This window comes from Homo sapiens, chromosome 16 (genome assembly GCF_000001405.40).
Source record: "Homo sapiens chromosome 16, GRCh38.p14 Primary Assembly".
Classification (NCBI taxonomy): domain Eukaryota; kingdom Metazoa; phylum Chordata; class Mammalia; order Primates; family Hominidae; genus Homo; species Homo sapiens.
Window position 1 is genome coordinate 64,965,707 of NC_000016.10, and position 17,655 is coordinate 64,983,361.

A 17,655-nucleotide genomic window follows, 5' to 3' on the forward strand; every position below is an offset into this window, starting at 1 on the left:
CTTACTGGATCATCTTTTTATATGTGGTCTGCTGCTGTCCAAGACATTGTTATGCGGTGCATGAAACACACACACACACACACACACACACACACACACACACACACACACAAGCTTATTTATAAGTGAAATAAGTGACAGCAATGATATAAGGAACAAGAGGGAGAAATTAGGATTAATTTCTTATTATAAGGTACTTGTACTACCTGTGAAGTGGTATAGTGTTATTTGATAGCAGACTTGGATTAATTGTAAATGTATAGCTCAAACTCTAGGTCAACCCATTAAAAAGTAAAAAGAAAAAAAAAGAAGTACAGTGGCAGTGGTATGCTTAAAAAGGACAGAAAATAGAATCACATAAAATACTGAGTTGAAACCTCAAAAGCCAGAAAAATGATAGAAAATATTATTTAAAAATTACTTTATAATATCTTCCAAAATGTAAAGTAGCTAACCATAAACTTAATAAGAAATGCATGATACAAAAATGAAGAAAACTACAATGACTTCCTGAGGGTAATAAAAGGAGAATTGATTCAATGGAAAGTCAGACCATGGTTTTGGACAGGAAAAGTATTTTTAAAATTTTAGTTCTTCTTAAATTGATCCATAAATTTAAGATAAGCTCAATAAGATTCACAAAAGTACTTGTAGGGCACCTGAAAAATAATTCTAAATTATATCAGAAAGAATAAAAAAAGCAAGATTTGTAAAATAGTAATAAAATAAAAATAATGCGGAGAAAGCATCTGTCAGGTTTCAACATATATATGTATAAAATTATTAAAGAAAAATATGATACCAGTAAATAGACAGAATGGGAAGAATAGAAAGTTAAAAAAATCTAATCATAAAAAATGTAGAAGACAATAAAGATACCCTTACAAAGCAGTGAGACATGACTAAATATTTCATAAATAATATTTTTAAAATGCCCAACAGGTGGGGGAAAAAGATATATAAGAAAGAAGAAAAGATAAGTTAATGTTGATATCAATTTTGGGTGAGGAACATCTTGCTAAGGATAATAGTAAATAGACAAAAACTGATACAAAAAGTGTAACATCTCTACTTAAGACTACAGCAGAGTCAGAATTAAAAGAACATTAAAACATTAGGAAAATCTATGCAGTAGGTATGGTAGGTCAAAGGTGAATAGCATTAATAGATGAACAGACTTTACAAATCAATTGCAAACTGACAAATATATAATTTAAGAGGTGGGCAAAGGACATAAATAGCCAACTTATAAGAACAAAAGAAGAACTGATTAATAATTATTAAAAACACCTGGCTTTAAATGATGAAAGTAACTGGAACTTAAAATGTTACATTTAACTTACCAAATTGCCAATGATTAAAAAGAGTAATACTAACTAGAATTGACCTGGATGTGAGAAAATAAAACCTCACCTGTTTTACCAATGGTATTAAAAATGGTATAACATTTCTGATGATCAGTTTATTAATTAAGTAGCAATAGCTTTTGATCCAGTAATTCCACTCTAGGAGTTTTGTTTGTTTGTTTGTTTGTTGCACTCCAGACTGTTGCCCAGGCTGGAGTGCAGTGGCGTGATCTCAGCTCACTGCAACCTCCACCTCCCGGGTTCAAGCAATTCTCTTGCCTCAGCCTCCCGAGTAGCTGGGGCTGCAGGTGCACACCGGCCAAGCCCAGCTAATTTTTTTGTGTTTTAGTAGAGAAGGGGTTTCACCGTATTGCCCAGGCTGGTCTTGAACTCCTGAGCTCAGGCAATCCATCTGCCTCAGCCTTCCAAAACACTATAGGAATTTATCCTAAAAGAATAATTAGATATTTGGCGAAGGTGTGGAAAACAATGTACGTACTTACAGTCAACTGATATTATATATCCTCATAGTTGAAGGTAGAAAGACAACTTGAAAATATTGACATACATATATTGATTTGTATTACATACTATTAAGTGGGAAAATTAGTGGACATATATTTCACAGTTGCTTTTCTTTTTTTTTTAAGAAAAGAAATGTATGCAAAGAAAGGATACACAAATAGCAGTGACTATTTCTGGGTAGCCTATTATCAAGTTATTTTAATGTTTTAATACCATTTTTGTTGGTTTGTATTTTCCAATTTTCCTTCAAGAAATAGGCATTAATTTTGTAATAGAAGCAAATTATAAACTTCTTTGCAAATATATTTTACTACAATTATTATGGCTGTGATTAAAGTGAAAATTGAAGAACCTTGTCCTGTTCTGTTCACACATTCCCTGGAACCCTAGATTAATCCATAAATTAAATTTCAGAATTTGCCTCTTCTGAGGATTGTTATTATTGACAATAGGATAAACAAAGACTTTTGAAATGAATTAACTAGAAGAGACACGAGCTTTATATTCATTTTACAGTGTGCCATGTACAACCAACAGGGCCCTCCAAATATTTAAATTTAGTTTTTGCACTTATTGCTGTGTGACCTTGGGCAAATCACTGACCCTTCTGATGTCTCATATTCTTTCTTTATCTGAAAATTGGATAAAAATATACCACCTGCCTGCCCTATGCGACTGTTTGAAGAATTAGGTGAAACAATGACATGAGAAGGTTTTATAAACCAGTTAAGAGCTACATAGAGGAGAGATATTATCTCAGTCTTTTTTTTTTCTTTGCACTTTTCTCATCCATTACATATTTCTTGTGATTTAAGAGATGCCACATGCCTGGTATTTTCAAAGTAAATGCATCTCAAAACCTGGGCAGACATGCTCTTCATCTGCCCAAATAGCACCATTCCTGATATTAACAGCCCAAGATGGACTTAAATGTTGAAGAATCATCCAGTGTTCTATTTTCCTGCTGCCTGCTGAGTCGGCTTTGAAGCTCGGGCTGCAGAACGGAATAAGATAAAATGAAATAAAAAGCTTGTGTGTATTAAGATGGCTTTTCCTCTTATATTTCTAAAAACGCTGAATGCTTATGCCGGAGTTTAGGCAAACACAATACTGATTATTTACATGGCATAATGGAAGTAAACACTCAAGGAGAAAGAGACTTGATGCTTTTACTCAGCATGATATAAACCATTATCTCATGTTTTCTATGGAAAGCAGTCTCAGCCGAGAAATTTGGTAACTCAGTAGGCTATTAATAGGATATGGAATGTGATTACTCCTTTTGGATTACTTCAATATGTAATTACTTTTAGGAGCTAGTAGAAAGAAAGTCTATTAAATGATAATTATAGGACTGTATTTGCTTTAAGTTTCTGTAATAGCTTTAAACATGGGAGTTTTCATTAACTGTTTGCCATAGTTAATAAAGTAATTTTTCTTAAAAAGTAGCAATTTCCTGCAAAAATAGTAGCTCAACAGTGGTATTAGTCTCTTATAGGAGAGGGCAGGGGAGATGAATTGTTCAGTAAATTGGCTCATCTAGGGTTATATAATCTCCTTGAAAAATATAGATGGTATCCGCAAAGTATTGTGACAAAGTAAAATACTTATAACTCCCTAGAGAACAATGTGTCTTAGTATAATGTTTTCAGAGGTTAACAGCAACTAAATATGATTGCACATATAAAAAGAAAATGTACAGGGCAGGTGATGGAGGCAAAGTTATCACAGCAGGGAAAGCTTAGTAAAGGTCCTGTTTGTAGGTGTCCCATGATAAACAGTAATATTGCTAGGAATACAGCCCCAGGAGTTAGACCTCCAGTGTAAGTTGAGAATTGCATCAACACAGATAGAAGATTGACCACAAATATTTGAGAAGCTAGACAAAAGATGGTGGCTAATAGTCATATGAGAACATCTGAGTTTTCTGGGCAACCGAATCAATCTCTTCACTATTGTTAAAACTAAATCCATTATGCAATATATTGTTACAAGCATTTCTTTGTCAGAAAACTGATATAAGCCTAAGCTGAAAAAATATAGCAGTCTGTCAATTCAAGGTGAAACTGGAAACAAATTTGAGAATGCAGAAAATTCTAAGAGTGAACACAGGGCTTTTCATAAATTCAAATACAGATGTATACGTATCTTAGAAAGCATTATGCAAACACTATTTGTGCCACCCTGTTCAATTCAGCTCAGTACACATTTTTAAATGTTCACTATGTGCCTGAGTTTCCTTGTTTTGGAGAAAACTATCATTACAAAATGAATTCCTGTATTACATATGTGTGTCCCATGAGGGTTGTGTGTTTCTGGTTGAGAACTATCCATTTACATTAGTGCTTTGCAGAATTATCTCTTTCAGAGACTTACAAGTGCACATTCACCAAAGACAAAAGGTAAAAGAAAAATCCTAGTGTAAATACAAACTTAAAGAGTGTTAAGTAACGTTTTGTTTTAAAATGATGGGAATCATTTACAAATTGAAACAGGGGTTGTTTCGTAGGCTTCTTTAAAAACACGTTTTTCTACATATAACTTCCTTCACACTTCAGTTCTTAAGAGCAAGTTCATTATAGAAAGCAAGGCATTGGGAGAGAAAAGGCTGTCATAACACCTAGGGCATTTTGCCTCATTGTCTCATTTGGCATGTGCTTGATTTATAAGGCCCATAATTAAATACTCACATAAGTTCAAGAAATAATAAGGTAAATCAAATCATAGACCCTCAAAATCCAAGCAGCATGGGGAGCGCCTGTCTGCTTTAATCATCAGCACGAAAGGATTCAGTGGTTAAGGCTATAGCATCTGGCCTCTGAGAGCCTGGGTTTAAACCCAGCCGTAACTTTTATTTGGTTGATTGATTTGAGACGAGTTATTTAATGATTCTGTGCCTCATTTTTCTCATCTGTGGAATAGGGGTGACAATAATGCCTACCTATGGTGGTGTTAAGAAAATTAAGTGGACAGAGTGTGGAAAGGATCTTGGCATGGGTCGTGGAACACAGCAACTGGTATTTATGGTACTGATGATAGTGATAACAGTAATGGGGAAAGTGATAATACTTACTAGAAAGTTTAAGATCCTCTAAGCCTGTTCTCAGTCGCAGGGAAAGCAATCAACCTATGGCCTAGTACCTGGTTAGCATGGATTGCATGAATATAGCAATCTGTATTCCTCCTTTTGCTCCCATGTTAAATGGTGGCATTTGTCTCCCTGTTTTCACAGGCCTGCACCTTCACAAACTTAAATGGGCAATTTCACTACCAAGTAATGGACAGAGAAAAACAGTGTGGATGAGAGTAAAAAATATATACATATATTCATCTTTCCTGGCTCTGCTACCAACTTTATCTAGGGACTGCATCAGGTCTGGGACTACAAAAACAAAAACATCTATTTCTAATAATCTGCAAGTCTAGAACCTCCTTAACTAATGAAAGGGGAAGCAGAAATAGTATTAAATTTTGCCGTTTTTATAATGGACAAACAATGCTTTGTTTCATGCCCTTCAGGCAACAATTCTGCAACTACTTTTAGATATTGAGCTCTGTACCCAGCCACACTGCATTAAAACTGTACTTGGAAAGGAAGGCCAGCTGAAAGATTAAATTGCCTTACAAAGTTGAACTAATCTCTTTTAATGCTTTACTTGATATCAATATTCATAAAGCTATCCTTCCCCCAAGGGTTTATCAACCTCTTGAAAAAAAAGATAAATGGAGTTGTTTGCATATTGACCCTGTAAGCTTCCCCACTTAGTTTTCCCACTGCTTCATGAATATCAAAGCCAAAAAATGTAAATAAAATTAGACTCACTTATTCGCATGCATCAAATGAGCCCATGTTTCAGAACAGAGGTGGCATTATTATTTCCGGTTTCTTCTTCAACAGGAAGACATTATAAAGATTAGTGAAAATACTTGTGCTATGCAATGTAAACGCCATTTGTTTTCCAGTTCTACTTCTCTGAATGCGTAGGAACCTTAGTACAAACCTCGGTTGTCTCTGACTGTGAAATTTGGATTGTGAATGATTTCAGGGGGTAGGCTGAAGATAAATCTTGGTCCATTGGCCGTGTCATCCTTGTCATCTGCACTAATTGTAACAATTGGCTGAAAGAGAAAGGTGGCCCATAAATAAATCATGCTGACATTGGCACATCATTTATTCAAAAATTTCTGGCTGGCTAGAAAGCCTGATTTTAATTAGAGAACATAACTTCAGAACAAAACTATGGCTCTGAAACCTTTTTGGGCAGTGGTTGGTATCTCCAAGTGATGGTTTAAAAAACACACTCTATTTCCAAGTGCATTGTTCCTAGCCAAGAATAGGGAAAGCAGGATTACCTGGTTGGAAAGTGGCTTGGTCTGATCACTCTCACAGATGAAACCTTCATAAGGGGCAGCAAACTTGGGAGCATTATCGTTGACATCAAGGACCCTAATGGCCACTGGGACTTTGGCTTCCTGATGCCGATTGTCTGGGAAGACAGAATGCAGACAGTCAAGAAAGGTCAAGGAGAAATACACATTGGTCCAGGCATATTCTTGGGAAAGAGTAAGCTCCAGCCACCTATCTGGGCAGTGCAGGGAAAGATGTTCTTGTCACAGAATCGATTTAAGAGCTGAAGGGTGCTGTTAGTGGGAGAGGCATATCCTAGAATAAATGTCAATATTAAGACCAGTAAGAACTAAAACACTTTTCCACATCTGCTGACTTTGATGCTGAGCTTTAATTCTAAAGGCCTATCATGGAGCCTGATCCCCAGAGAGATGTCTATCAAAGTGGTTCTTAAATGTGGGAGTCTAGAGAGAAGCATTAAAACCATCTGGGAACTTGTTGGAAGCAAAAATTCTCAGGCCCTATCCCAGACCTACTGAATCAGAGTCTCTGGGGCAGGGTCCAGAAATCAAGCTTGATGACTGATCAACCTGATGCATGATCAAGTTTGAGTTGTTGTCTATAGATAAACAAGAACCCACAAACCTTGGGCCTAAGGACTTTGCTTTTCTGGGTTCAGTGAAGACTAGTGACTGGATGGAGTGGGAAATCTTTCAGTGATGGTTATGAGTTTCAAACTCCTGAGGGCTACTGGCTCTCTTGCCAAGTCTATACCCAGTTCTGTCAGAGAAAACAAGAACATTTCCCTTTGCCTATATGTACTCCTAGAAAGATAACCGAAAACACATTTTAAAGACTGAAAAATCTGTTTAAGACCAAAAAAGTTAGTCTATCTCAGCTATTTTACTTTCCAGAATATAGAGTCTGAAGCGATAATACTTGGTAAAGTAGAATCAAAACCATGAGGAGAATACTTACGGATTTCTGCTGCAAAGACAGTGATGTTGAGCCAGGCTGTTTCCTCTCTATCCAGAGGTTTTGTAGTTTTAATAAAACCATCCTCTGGATTAATAGTGAAAAATCTGTCGAGGTCAGTGTGACGATCGATGGAATACCTAAGCAGAATGCAAATGAGGCAATTAGACCAAGACATTCAGAGCAGCTTAATATTTGAATATTTTCTCCATGCTATATTTAAATCAAGCTTCTCAATGAATTACTTAAGCTAGATTTTCTTTCTAATCAAATTTACTTTTGAAACTTTGTACACGATTCTTTTATAGAAATAACTTTGCCACATTGGAATTCCTTATTCAGTACAATGAATGAAAGAGTTGTTTAGCATATTTGATTGAGAAGTACAATAATGTGGTGCATATTTCTCCATATTTACTACAATCACCCATCCTCTGAATATTTATGAAACTGCATTTGGAAAGTGAGTTTGCCTTGCTCCCAAACTACTCAGAAAGTCACAAATGTATCAAACCTTTGCCAGATTTTTGCATATGAAATTTTAAATCCGTTCAAGTGTATTTAAATTTATCAAGATCATGTATAGACCTAAAAATCAGTTTGTCTTATTTAAAGAAAAATGCAGCCTGGTGCAGTGTCTCACTCCTGTAATCCCAGCACTTTGGGAGGCCAAGGCGGATGGATCATTTGAGGCCAGGAGTTCAGGACCAGCCTGACCAACATGGTGAAATCGCATCTCTACTAAAAAATACAAAAACTAGCTGGGGATGGTGGCACACACCTATAATCCCAGTTACTCGGGAGGCTGAGGCATGAGAATCATTGAATCCGGGAAGCGGAGGCTGCAGTTAGCCAAGATCATGCCACTGCACTCCAGCGTGGGTGACAGAGAAAGACTCTGTCTCAGGAAAAAAAAAAGACAAAAGAAAAATGTTCACTACATTTTAGTAAATCTGTTTAGTTCATTTAGTTTCAGGGGTTCTCAGTTAGCTTGGCTCTGAGTTCCAGCGTGTAATGTACAAAGTAAGCTTGGCCATTTACTTGTAGGGCATTTTCCCATATTTTAATGACTCCAGGCTGTGCAAAACAGCACAGCTTGAAGATTTTAGTTACTCCCACCCACTAAGTTAACTTTTTACTAATAACGGATAAAAAAACCACATAATATTATTGGGCTGTATTTGTGGCAAAGTGAGGTGGGAGATGGCGGAAGAATGGCATTTACTGAGTTGTAGTAAGGTAAAATAACTTGCCCAGGATACAGTCTTGTTTTAATGGGTCTGTTGAACTCCAAACCCCTTCCCTTTCCACTCCCTTATACTAACTCCAAAATAGAAAAGAACAAAAATGGGTTATGTTAATTCAGGTAGTACGCTGAGCTTCATAAGTGTGTGGTTTTCTGCTCTTAGAGGTCTAAGCTATGATTTCCCAAAATTTACAAAATGAGTATGTCAGAAGGCATTCAGTGATGGTCAAAAATCAAAGAATATTAGAGATAGCAGAGGCCATGAATATCGGAAGGTTTAATTGCCTGGATTTACAAAAGATGAAACTTGGCCTATGTCTAGTTTCTGGAAGAGACAATATTGGAAGCCAGATCTTCTAATCCCAGATCATGTTCTTTTCAGGAAAGAGGGACCCCCCACTGAGCGGCACTTCACAGTATACAAACATGAGCTCATTCATGATGTCACTTAACTTCACAGCTCCCCATAGGAATAGAATAATGAGTCCCCTTGCACAGTGACAAAACCAAAGATATTCATACACCTCCTCAATGTCAGGAGAGGCTCAGCAACTGAGCCCTCAGCAGATAACACTATGTGGAAAGGAGTCAAAAAAATAATCAAAGACTTTTTTTCCTTCCATGAAGGAGCTCACTATTTAGTTGACATGACAACACACATGTGGGAAGAAAGATCATTAATAATTCAAGGTATTATTCCACAGAAATGAAGGGCATGAGTTTTGGGTTTTGGAAGTCCTAAGTACAACTTCATAATCTGCTACATATAAGCTAGATGATATTGGAAAAGCCACTTAAGTTCTTTGAGCCTTAGCATATTTATCTTCTAAAATGGAATGCGTATTTTTTTTCCCAAACAGAATCTCACTATGTGGCCCCAGCTTGTCTTGAACAGCTGGGCTCAAGTCATCCTTCTGCCTCAGGCTCCTGGGTAGCTGGGATTGTAGGAACCTGGCTGAACTGGAATATTAATAGTACCTAACTTTTATGTTATCTGTGAGAATTCAATAAAATAATAAATGTTTAAGATACATAATTTAGTGACTCACACATTGCAACCAACAGTAACTGCTATTATTTTTGTTGTTGATGCTGCTGTTACACACTGAGAACAAACTGTGGAAGCTCTCATATGTAAGAGTGTGACCTTCATCCTAGAGCCAGTGAGAAATCATGGAAGGCTTTGAGCAGAGGAGCAAATAAAAGAACGCAAGCTCTCAAGGAGATCAATAACGCATGATGGGCAAGATGGTCTGAGGAAGTGAGAGTAGAAGAAGGAGCAGAGGAAACTTAAGGATTTGATTTTGTTTTTAAATACATGAGGTGATGAGAGTGAAGTACAGGGGTAACAGAGGAAATGGAATCCTAGATGATGATGAAAGCCCAAGTAGGATTTAGTGGATATTTGGGCATCTAGGGGAGGCTGAGAGAGTCCCAGGTAGCTTCTCACCTGAGTGTCTGAGAGAGGGAGATTTAAAGACATTGAAAAAGAACATGCTTGCTATTGTGAATAGTGCTGTGATGAACAGTTGAGTGCTTGTGTGTTTTTATTTTCCTCTGGATATATATTTTTAAATAAATTTTTATAAAGTTGATTTTCCTTTGGATATATGCCCTGTAATGAGACAGGATCAATCATACCCCCAACCTCAGCACTACACAATATAACCATTAACTAACCTACACATGTACCCCCTGAATCAAAAATAACTGTTGAAATTATTTAAAAAATTAAAAAGAAAAAGAGGAAAAATCAATTACCAGGAAGGAAAGGTTGACATTTAATTAAGGATATGTCAAAATGCTCAGAAAGAAAAGACTCAACTCTATTGCAGGCTTCAGGAAGTCAGGGGTGGAAACAGCTGTTTTTGTTTTAAAGTATGTCACAATAATTACAAGATCAAAAATATGTCTTGGATAAATGAGTGAGCCAGTGAAAGAAAAAGCAAATGGGTAAAAATGCACAACAGACAGTATCATAAATGCAGAGTTAGAGTTGGGGAGAAAGATCAGCCTAGGAGCAGGAAATCTGAAGCATCCACTTAGGTCAATTACGGCTTGGGTAAAAGCCCTATAGGTGAGTGGACACAGAGAGAAGGACCAAGTCAATGCCTGGACAGGGATCAAAGACTAGTGAAGACATCAGGTACAGTGTTATCTGAGGCATAACAGGTTAGTGCCAAGAAAACTAAAGGGAGATAATATTTCAGAAAGGAAATTCTGAACAAAAATGTGTCTAATGCTACAGTCTGAGACAAAAAAAAACAAAAACAAAAAACTGCAGAATGTCCAAGAAGTTAAGAGTTATGGTGATATTGCAAGGCCTCCATTATATGTCCAAAGACTCAAATGTCCTCAAAGTTGAAGAGAAACAACCAGGAAATTAGGAAGGGAAGATAAAAGACCCATTAGATAAAAAGTTTGGAGGCCTTGCCTGATGGCTCAAGCCTGTAATCCCAGCACTTTGGGAGGCCAAGGTGGGCGGATCACCAGAGGTCAGGAGTTCAAGATTAGCCTGGTTAACATGGTGAAACCTGTCTCTATTTATACTAAATATACAAAATTAGCTGGGCATGGTGGCACACACCTATAATCCCAGCTACTTGGGAGAGAATTGCTTGAACCCAGGAGGCGGAGGTTGCAGTGAGCTGGGATCACGCCACTGCACTCCAGCCTGGGCAACAGAGTGAGACTCGGTCTCCAAAAACCAACCAACCAACCAACCAACCAACCAACCAACCAACCAACAAAAAAGCTTTGAATAGACTAGGTGCAGTGGTTCATGCCTGAAATCCCAGCATTTTGGGGAGCTGAGCCAGGAGGATCACTTAAGCCCAGGAGTTTGAGACCAGCATGGGCAACATAGTGAGAACCCCCTCTCTACAAAAACAAAACAAAAAAAATTAGGCAGGCACAGTGGCATGCACCTGCAGTCCCAGTTACTTGGGAGGCTGATGTGGGAGGTTCACCTGAGCGCAGGGAGCTCAAGTCTTCAGTGAACCATGATGACACCACTGCACTCCAGGCTGGGTGACAGAGTGAGACCCTGTCTCAAAAACAAATATAAAAGCTTTGAATATTCTCTTAAAATTTGTCTGGTATTTCTAAATAACAAAGACCCAAGTAGGTGGGAGTGGGCGGTTGGTTCAAGTGTGGTATTGAGCATCCTTGGATAATTATAGACATGGAAATTGCCTACATGCACAGAACAGCTACCATTTGAAAACATGACCCAAATAATCAATTGCAGATGTGAATCCTTGGAGACAATGAGGTGCAGAGGAAATGAGTGAGTGTTTTTACGTCACAGTCACTGCTCTTCTAAAAAGTTTCTAATGCACCTCGATATTCTAGGCCAGAGATAACTCATTTAAACTTCACACTGTGAAGATTTTTAAGTCATTTAAAGGTGTTAGAAGGGTCCATAGTCATTATGTAACATATCTTTCTGCACAAAGAGAATATAGTAATCAAACCTTCTTGGGAAATCTTTCCATTAGTGGCTGCTGGGTTAAAGTAAAAAGCTCAAAATGAACTCAAGACAGATCTGGGCTGAAATCCAGTGTTCAATACTGACTGTCCACGTGACTTTAAAGAAGTCTCATCATTGCTCTGAGCCTCACTCTTCCCACCTGTTCAATTCTAGAGCAGTCATAGCCACAAAGGATGTCAGTGAGAACTGACTGAAATAACTTTGTAAAACCTGTTGTATGAGGCTGAAAAGATGCTCAGTAAATGTTAATTATCTCTCTTTTCCTCAGAAGAATCAGTGTTCAAAGATCCAAAAGCAACCCAACACCACTTATAGTTGGGAATTCCTTCTTTCCTGCCACTATTTTCTTTGATATAAATGGACAAATTCCATTGTCCGTGTAATTTCCTTTCATATTTAGATCCATTTACTTTTTCATAAGTAAATTCATTAGTGCCTCCCTAGGTATATTGGGAACCCCCAGTGTGTGCTCAATGAAGGTTTGTCAAATAAATGTGTGAATAAGATGTCATCACTTCTATCACGCCTCCTGTTTTACACTCAAAAACTGTGAGCTTGACCTTCCAAGCCAAATCAGGAGTTATTTTATTTATTTATTCAATAAATATTTGTTAGACATCGAATTTGGGCCATGTACTCTGTTTAGTGGAAGGCGCAGTGATGATCTATAACAGGGGCCAGCAAACTTGTTCTGCAAGGGCCAGCCAGCAAATGTTTAGCTTGTGCAGAAATTAGAATCTCTGTTTCAACTACTCAACTCTGCCCTTGCAGCAGGAAAGAAGACATAGATAATATGCAAACAAATGATGTGACTATCTTCCCATATAACATTATCTACAAAAATAGGTGGTGAGAAAAAAGATGAAGAACTCACAGTTCCTGATTTCAAAACATAGTACAAAGTTATGGTTATGAAGGCTATGTGGTACTGCTGTATGGATAGACATATAATTAATGCAATGTAATCAACAGTACAAAACAATCCTGGTTTCTATGACTATGAATGGTCAATTTTCAACCTGAATGCCAAGATCATTCAATTAAGACAAAATAGTATTTTCAACAAATAGTGCTGGAATAATTGGATATGCACATGCAAAATAATAAAGTTGGACCCCTTCCTGACAACATACATAAAATTATACTCAAAACTGATAAAAATCTAAATGTGAAAGCTAAAAGCATAAAGTTTATTTTTAAAAAATGTGTAAATCATTCATGACTTTAGATTAGACAATTATTTCATCATAGACATTAAAAAAAAAGAATAGACCCACTAGAATTCCTCAAAATTAAAACTTTTATGCCTCAAAGGACACTATTAAGAAACTGAAAAGATATCCCATGGAATGAGAAAAAAATGCAAATCATATACCTGATAAGGCCCTACCATTCAGAATACATAAAGAGCTCTTACAACAACAGTAAAAAGACAAATAATCCACTTATGAAATGGGCAAAATTCTTGAATAGATATTTCTCCCAAGAAGACATACAAATGGCTAATAAGCACATAAAAAGATGCTCAGGCCAGGTGCAGTGGCTCATGCGTGTAATTCCAGCACTTTGGAAGGCAGAAACAGGTGGATCATTTGAGGCCAGGAATTTGAGACCAGCGTGGCCAACATGGCAAAACCCTGTCTCTATTTTTTTAAAAAATAGCTGGGCCTGGTGGTGTGCACCTGTAGTCCCAGCTACTTGGGGGACTGAAGCACAAGACTCGCCCGAGCCTGGGAAGCATAGGTTGGAGTGAGCTGAGATCGTGCCACTGCACTCCAGCCTGGGCGACAGAGTGAAACTATGTCTCAGTAGCAAATAAATAAATAAATAAAAGATGCTTGGTGTCACTAGTCATTATGAAAATACAAATCAAAACTATAATGATATATCATTTCATACCCACTATGATAGCTATAATGAAAAGAGGCAAAAAAGTGTTGGTGAGAATGTGGAGAAACTGGAACTCTCATATATTGTTGATAAGAAAGTAAAATGGTACAGCCACTGTGGAAAACACTTTGGCAGCTCCTCAGAAAGTTAAACATAGAGTTACCATGTAATCCAGCAATTCCACTCCTAGGTATATGCCCAGGAAAGAGGAAAACATGTTTAGGCTAAGACATGTCCAGGAATGTTCAGCATTATCTGTCATAGCCAAGTTTGGAAACAACTCAAACATGTATCCAAATGATAAATGAGCAAATAAAATGTGGTGCACCCATACAATGAAAAATTACTTCAGAGATAAAAAGAAATGAATTAGTGATGCACTCTGCAACATGTATGAACCTCAAAATCATTATGCTACATGCAAAAATTCAGTTACATAAGACCACATGTTGTATTATTCCATTTATATGAAATGTCCAGAATAGGCAAACATACAGACACAAAATAAGTTAATTGTTACAGGAGGCTGGGAAGCAGGAGAAACGGGGAGTGACTGCTAATGGACATAGGATTTCTTTTGTGGGGGGGATCAATAAAAATATTCTGGAATTAGACAGTGGTAATGGTTGAACATCTTCATGAAATATACTAAAAACCAATAAATTGTACAAGTTGAACAGGTAAAGTTCATGCTTCATGATATGTAAATTTTTTTCACAACAGAAAAAAAAAAGAGAGTGAGACAGAAAAGCAAATGGCAGCCAGATTTGGCCTATGGGCTATAGTTTGCCAAGGCCTAAACTAGACAGACATCCAGCTCTTTGAGACTATCCTCTAGTGAGGACCTCACATAACCTAAGTGTCCCTGTGATGTAGCCTGGGGGGTGAGGTAGGGAGGAGCAAGAGGAAGGACATCCGATACATCTCTAGGGAGCCCTGGAAGAATTCCTATAGGAGATAACACCTAAGTGGAGATGGAGAAAATGAGTCCAATGTGGTAACTTGGAAAGGCAAGGGCTACCAGCTAGAAGGAGGAACATGTGAAGTCCAGGGATTAGGAGACAGCAGGAGAGCTTCAAAGAATGAGATGGAGGTAGAGGGGTGCAAAGAAGTTTTTTAAACTAAGTGAATGAGGTTAGATTATTTTGAAGAGGGAGACAACAGGGAACCATTTAATCATTAATTTTTTCTTGTGTTTTAACTAAGGTAAGATGTGATGTTTGGATGTGCATTGTATGAGGGTCACTCTGGCTGCAGAGTCAGGATTCATGCAGAGAGGTAAATGAAAGACTGAGGGTTGGGAGACCCTGTGGAGGCATATAAAGAAATCCAAGCAAGAAGGAAATGAGAGGAGTGGCTGTGGGAAAAGAAACCCCTGCTAGAATCCGGTCCAGGGGAAATTCCAGGGCACTATCAACTTCCACTCTGTAAACGTGTGATTCAAGCCCCTTCTCCACCTCCTTCTTATCACCCTCTCATTTTTGTCATTAGCTTCATCAGTCATTAGCTCAGGATGAAGAGGAAAGTGGAGAAGCAGAGTTTTGGATCACTTTTTCTTTCTTTCTTTCTTTTTTTTTTTTTTTTTTTTTTTTTTGAGACAGGGTCTCACTCTGCCACCCAGGCTAGAATGCAGTGGCTTGATCTCGGCTTACTGCAACCTCTGCCTCTCGGGTTCAAGCGATTGTCCTGCCTCAGCCTCCTGAGGAGCTGGAATTACAGGTGCATGCCACCATGCCCAGCTAAATTTTGTATTTTTAGTAGAGGCAGGGTTTCATTACATTGTAAAGGCTGGGTTCGAACTCCTTACCTTAGGTGATCCACCCGCCTTAGCCTTCCCAAAGTGATGAGATTACAGATGTGAGCCACGGTGCCCAGCCACAGTTCTGGATCACATTTTTTTTGTCACAAAAAAAGGTATTCATAATAATAAAATCACCTGAAATTTATTTGGACACTTTACTACTTTTACAAAGTACTCAGCAGCAGTTAGACAGAGCTGGCTTTCCTTGCCTCCTGCTCGGTGGCTGTATCATTCCAGGCAAGTCACTTTGTCTTGCATTGCCTCCAATTTCCTCTCATTTTAAGGACTAGCAATTTATACATCGATTAAGTTGAGGGGATTGATTAGATCACATACCTAACCTCCTCATAGAGTAACCAGAGAATGGGAAGGTATTTAATAAATTGCAATTACTATAATTATTTCACAATAATTATTTATATTTCCCCACAGTCCCCTGAGGCAGACAGGCCCAGCTCAGGGCTCCGTCACCTAGTATGCCTGGGGGAATCTGCTCCAGAGCAAAGTCATGTAGCTTGAACAATCCTATCCAAAAAGTCAGGAACAGAGGTGAAGGGAAGCTCATGTCTTCTAAATCTTAATCTTGTTTACATTCTATTGAACCTGATAAACTTGAACCCTTTTTGAAATTGAAAAACGTGGTTCCTACAGGGCTTTCCCAGAACCTCTTGACTCTAAAATTCCCCATCCAAGCTCTTAAAATAAATCCGTCTGTACCTTATCGGGCTGTTGGCAGCATCAGGGTCTTTGGCATGCACTCTCCCAACCACGGTGCCAGCAGCTGCATTTTCTTGGACTTCGTGGATGTAACTTGGGGCCAAGAACATAGGGGGCTCATCAGCATCTTCTACTGAGATCTTGACGGTCACAGTGTCCTTGAAAGGGCCATTGCTGATAAACTTCGGGTCGATGTGCACGTTGGCTGCCTCTACCTTCAAGCTATAGGCTCTTTTGGTTTCAAAATCTACAGGCTGGCAAGAATGAAGAGAAGATTGACAACCAATTCCTTGAAAGAATAATGGAAGAGAAAGACCCGATTGTTTTATAGGGACGAGTGAATATTCCTCAAAGAGAGAAAATCAGAGTCTACTCAATTTCCAATTACCTGAGCCATTTGGTCAGAAAATCACACAAATCAATTGCTGAAACCTAGAATGTGCTTAATGGGTCATTCGAAGAGCACAACAGACACAGAAAGACCACGTCATCTAAAATGAAACTTATTCTATATAGCAACACTAATGTTGCCCAAATAAGTCACTAAGAATTACCTAAGGAAGGGAATTAAAACATTGCAAAAATACATTTGGTACCTCATTCTGAAAACTAAGAATCCTGGTAACAAAAATACCACTGAATTTCAGCCAAAAAGCATGTCTTGTTTGATGACTGCTTCATACCTCTCCCACCCGCAACCATCCAGCTTGATCATATTGAAAGCTTCATGTTGAAAGTTTCTGACCACGTTGTTTCCCAATGTCTGGGACTCTTACCAGCAGTGGCCCATAAGATGACATAGGGTGGTTTATAGGTAATTTGATAGGTGAGGTTGTCAAATGATATTAACTCACATAGTGAGATAATTCTTTCTTTTCCAAGTCTTTAAATCCTTGACACACCAAGTAGAACATCTCCGTTTTAACACATCTGCTCTGCTTCACAATCTCTTTTGTGAGATATTATGATACAACTCTAGCTAGAATGTAATGGCATCGTTTTGGTTTGATTGCATTTATTTTTAAGTTACCTTCTATTTTTGGCAAGTGACAAGATAATAAGGGAAATGTTTCCTTTTTTAAAATGCTTCTTTTTTTAAAAAAAAAAAGAATGCATATATATTAAAGATGGTCTATTTAAAGAAAAACAAATGAAAGCAGTAAAATTTTACACAAATATGAAAGAAAAAAAATGAGTAGTAGCATTTGAATGGCTGTAGTTATAGGGAAATTGATAGTAAACACTGCCTAATTTTGAATGAGAGGAGTTACAGTGAATCAGTCAGCAAAGGATGGAAAGTAACATTGTAGCAGA

General features: G+C 37.8%; 1 protein-coding gene across 4 annotated transcripts in view; it reads right to left on the reverse strand.

Moving 5' to 3' along the window:
• The window catches only part of CDH11 (cadherin 11), a 179,992-nt gene that overhangs the window by 21,954 nt on the left and 140,383 nt on the right, over nucleotides 1-17,655 (reverse strand). For all 4 annotated transcript variants that reach the window (XM_047433486.1, NM_001330576.2, NM_001797.4 and 1 more), the window contains 4 exons: nucleotides 16,342-16,595; nucleotides 7,198-7,334; nucleotides 6,225-6,358; nucleotides 5,873-5,990 (listed from right to left, as the gene is read on the reverse strand). In XM_047433486.1, the coding sequence (XP_047289442.1) occupies nucleotides 5,873-5,990; nucleotides 6,225-6,358; nucleotides 7,198-7,334; nucleotides 16,342-16,595 (643 nt within the window). The remainder of the gene's footprint in view (nucleotides 1-5,872; nucleotides 5,991-6,224; nucleotides 6,359-7,197; nucleotides 7,335-16,341; nucleotides 16,596-17,655) is intronic.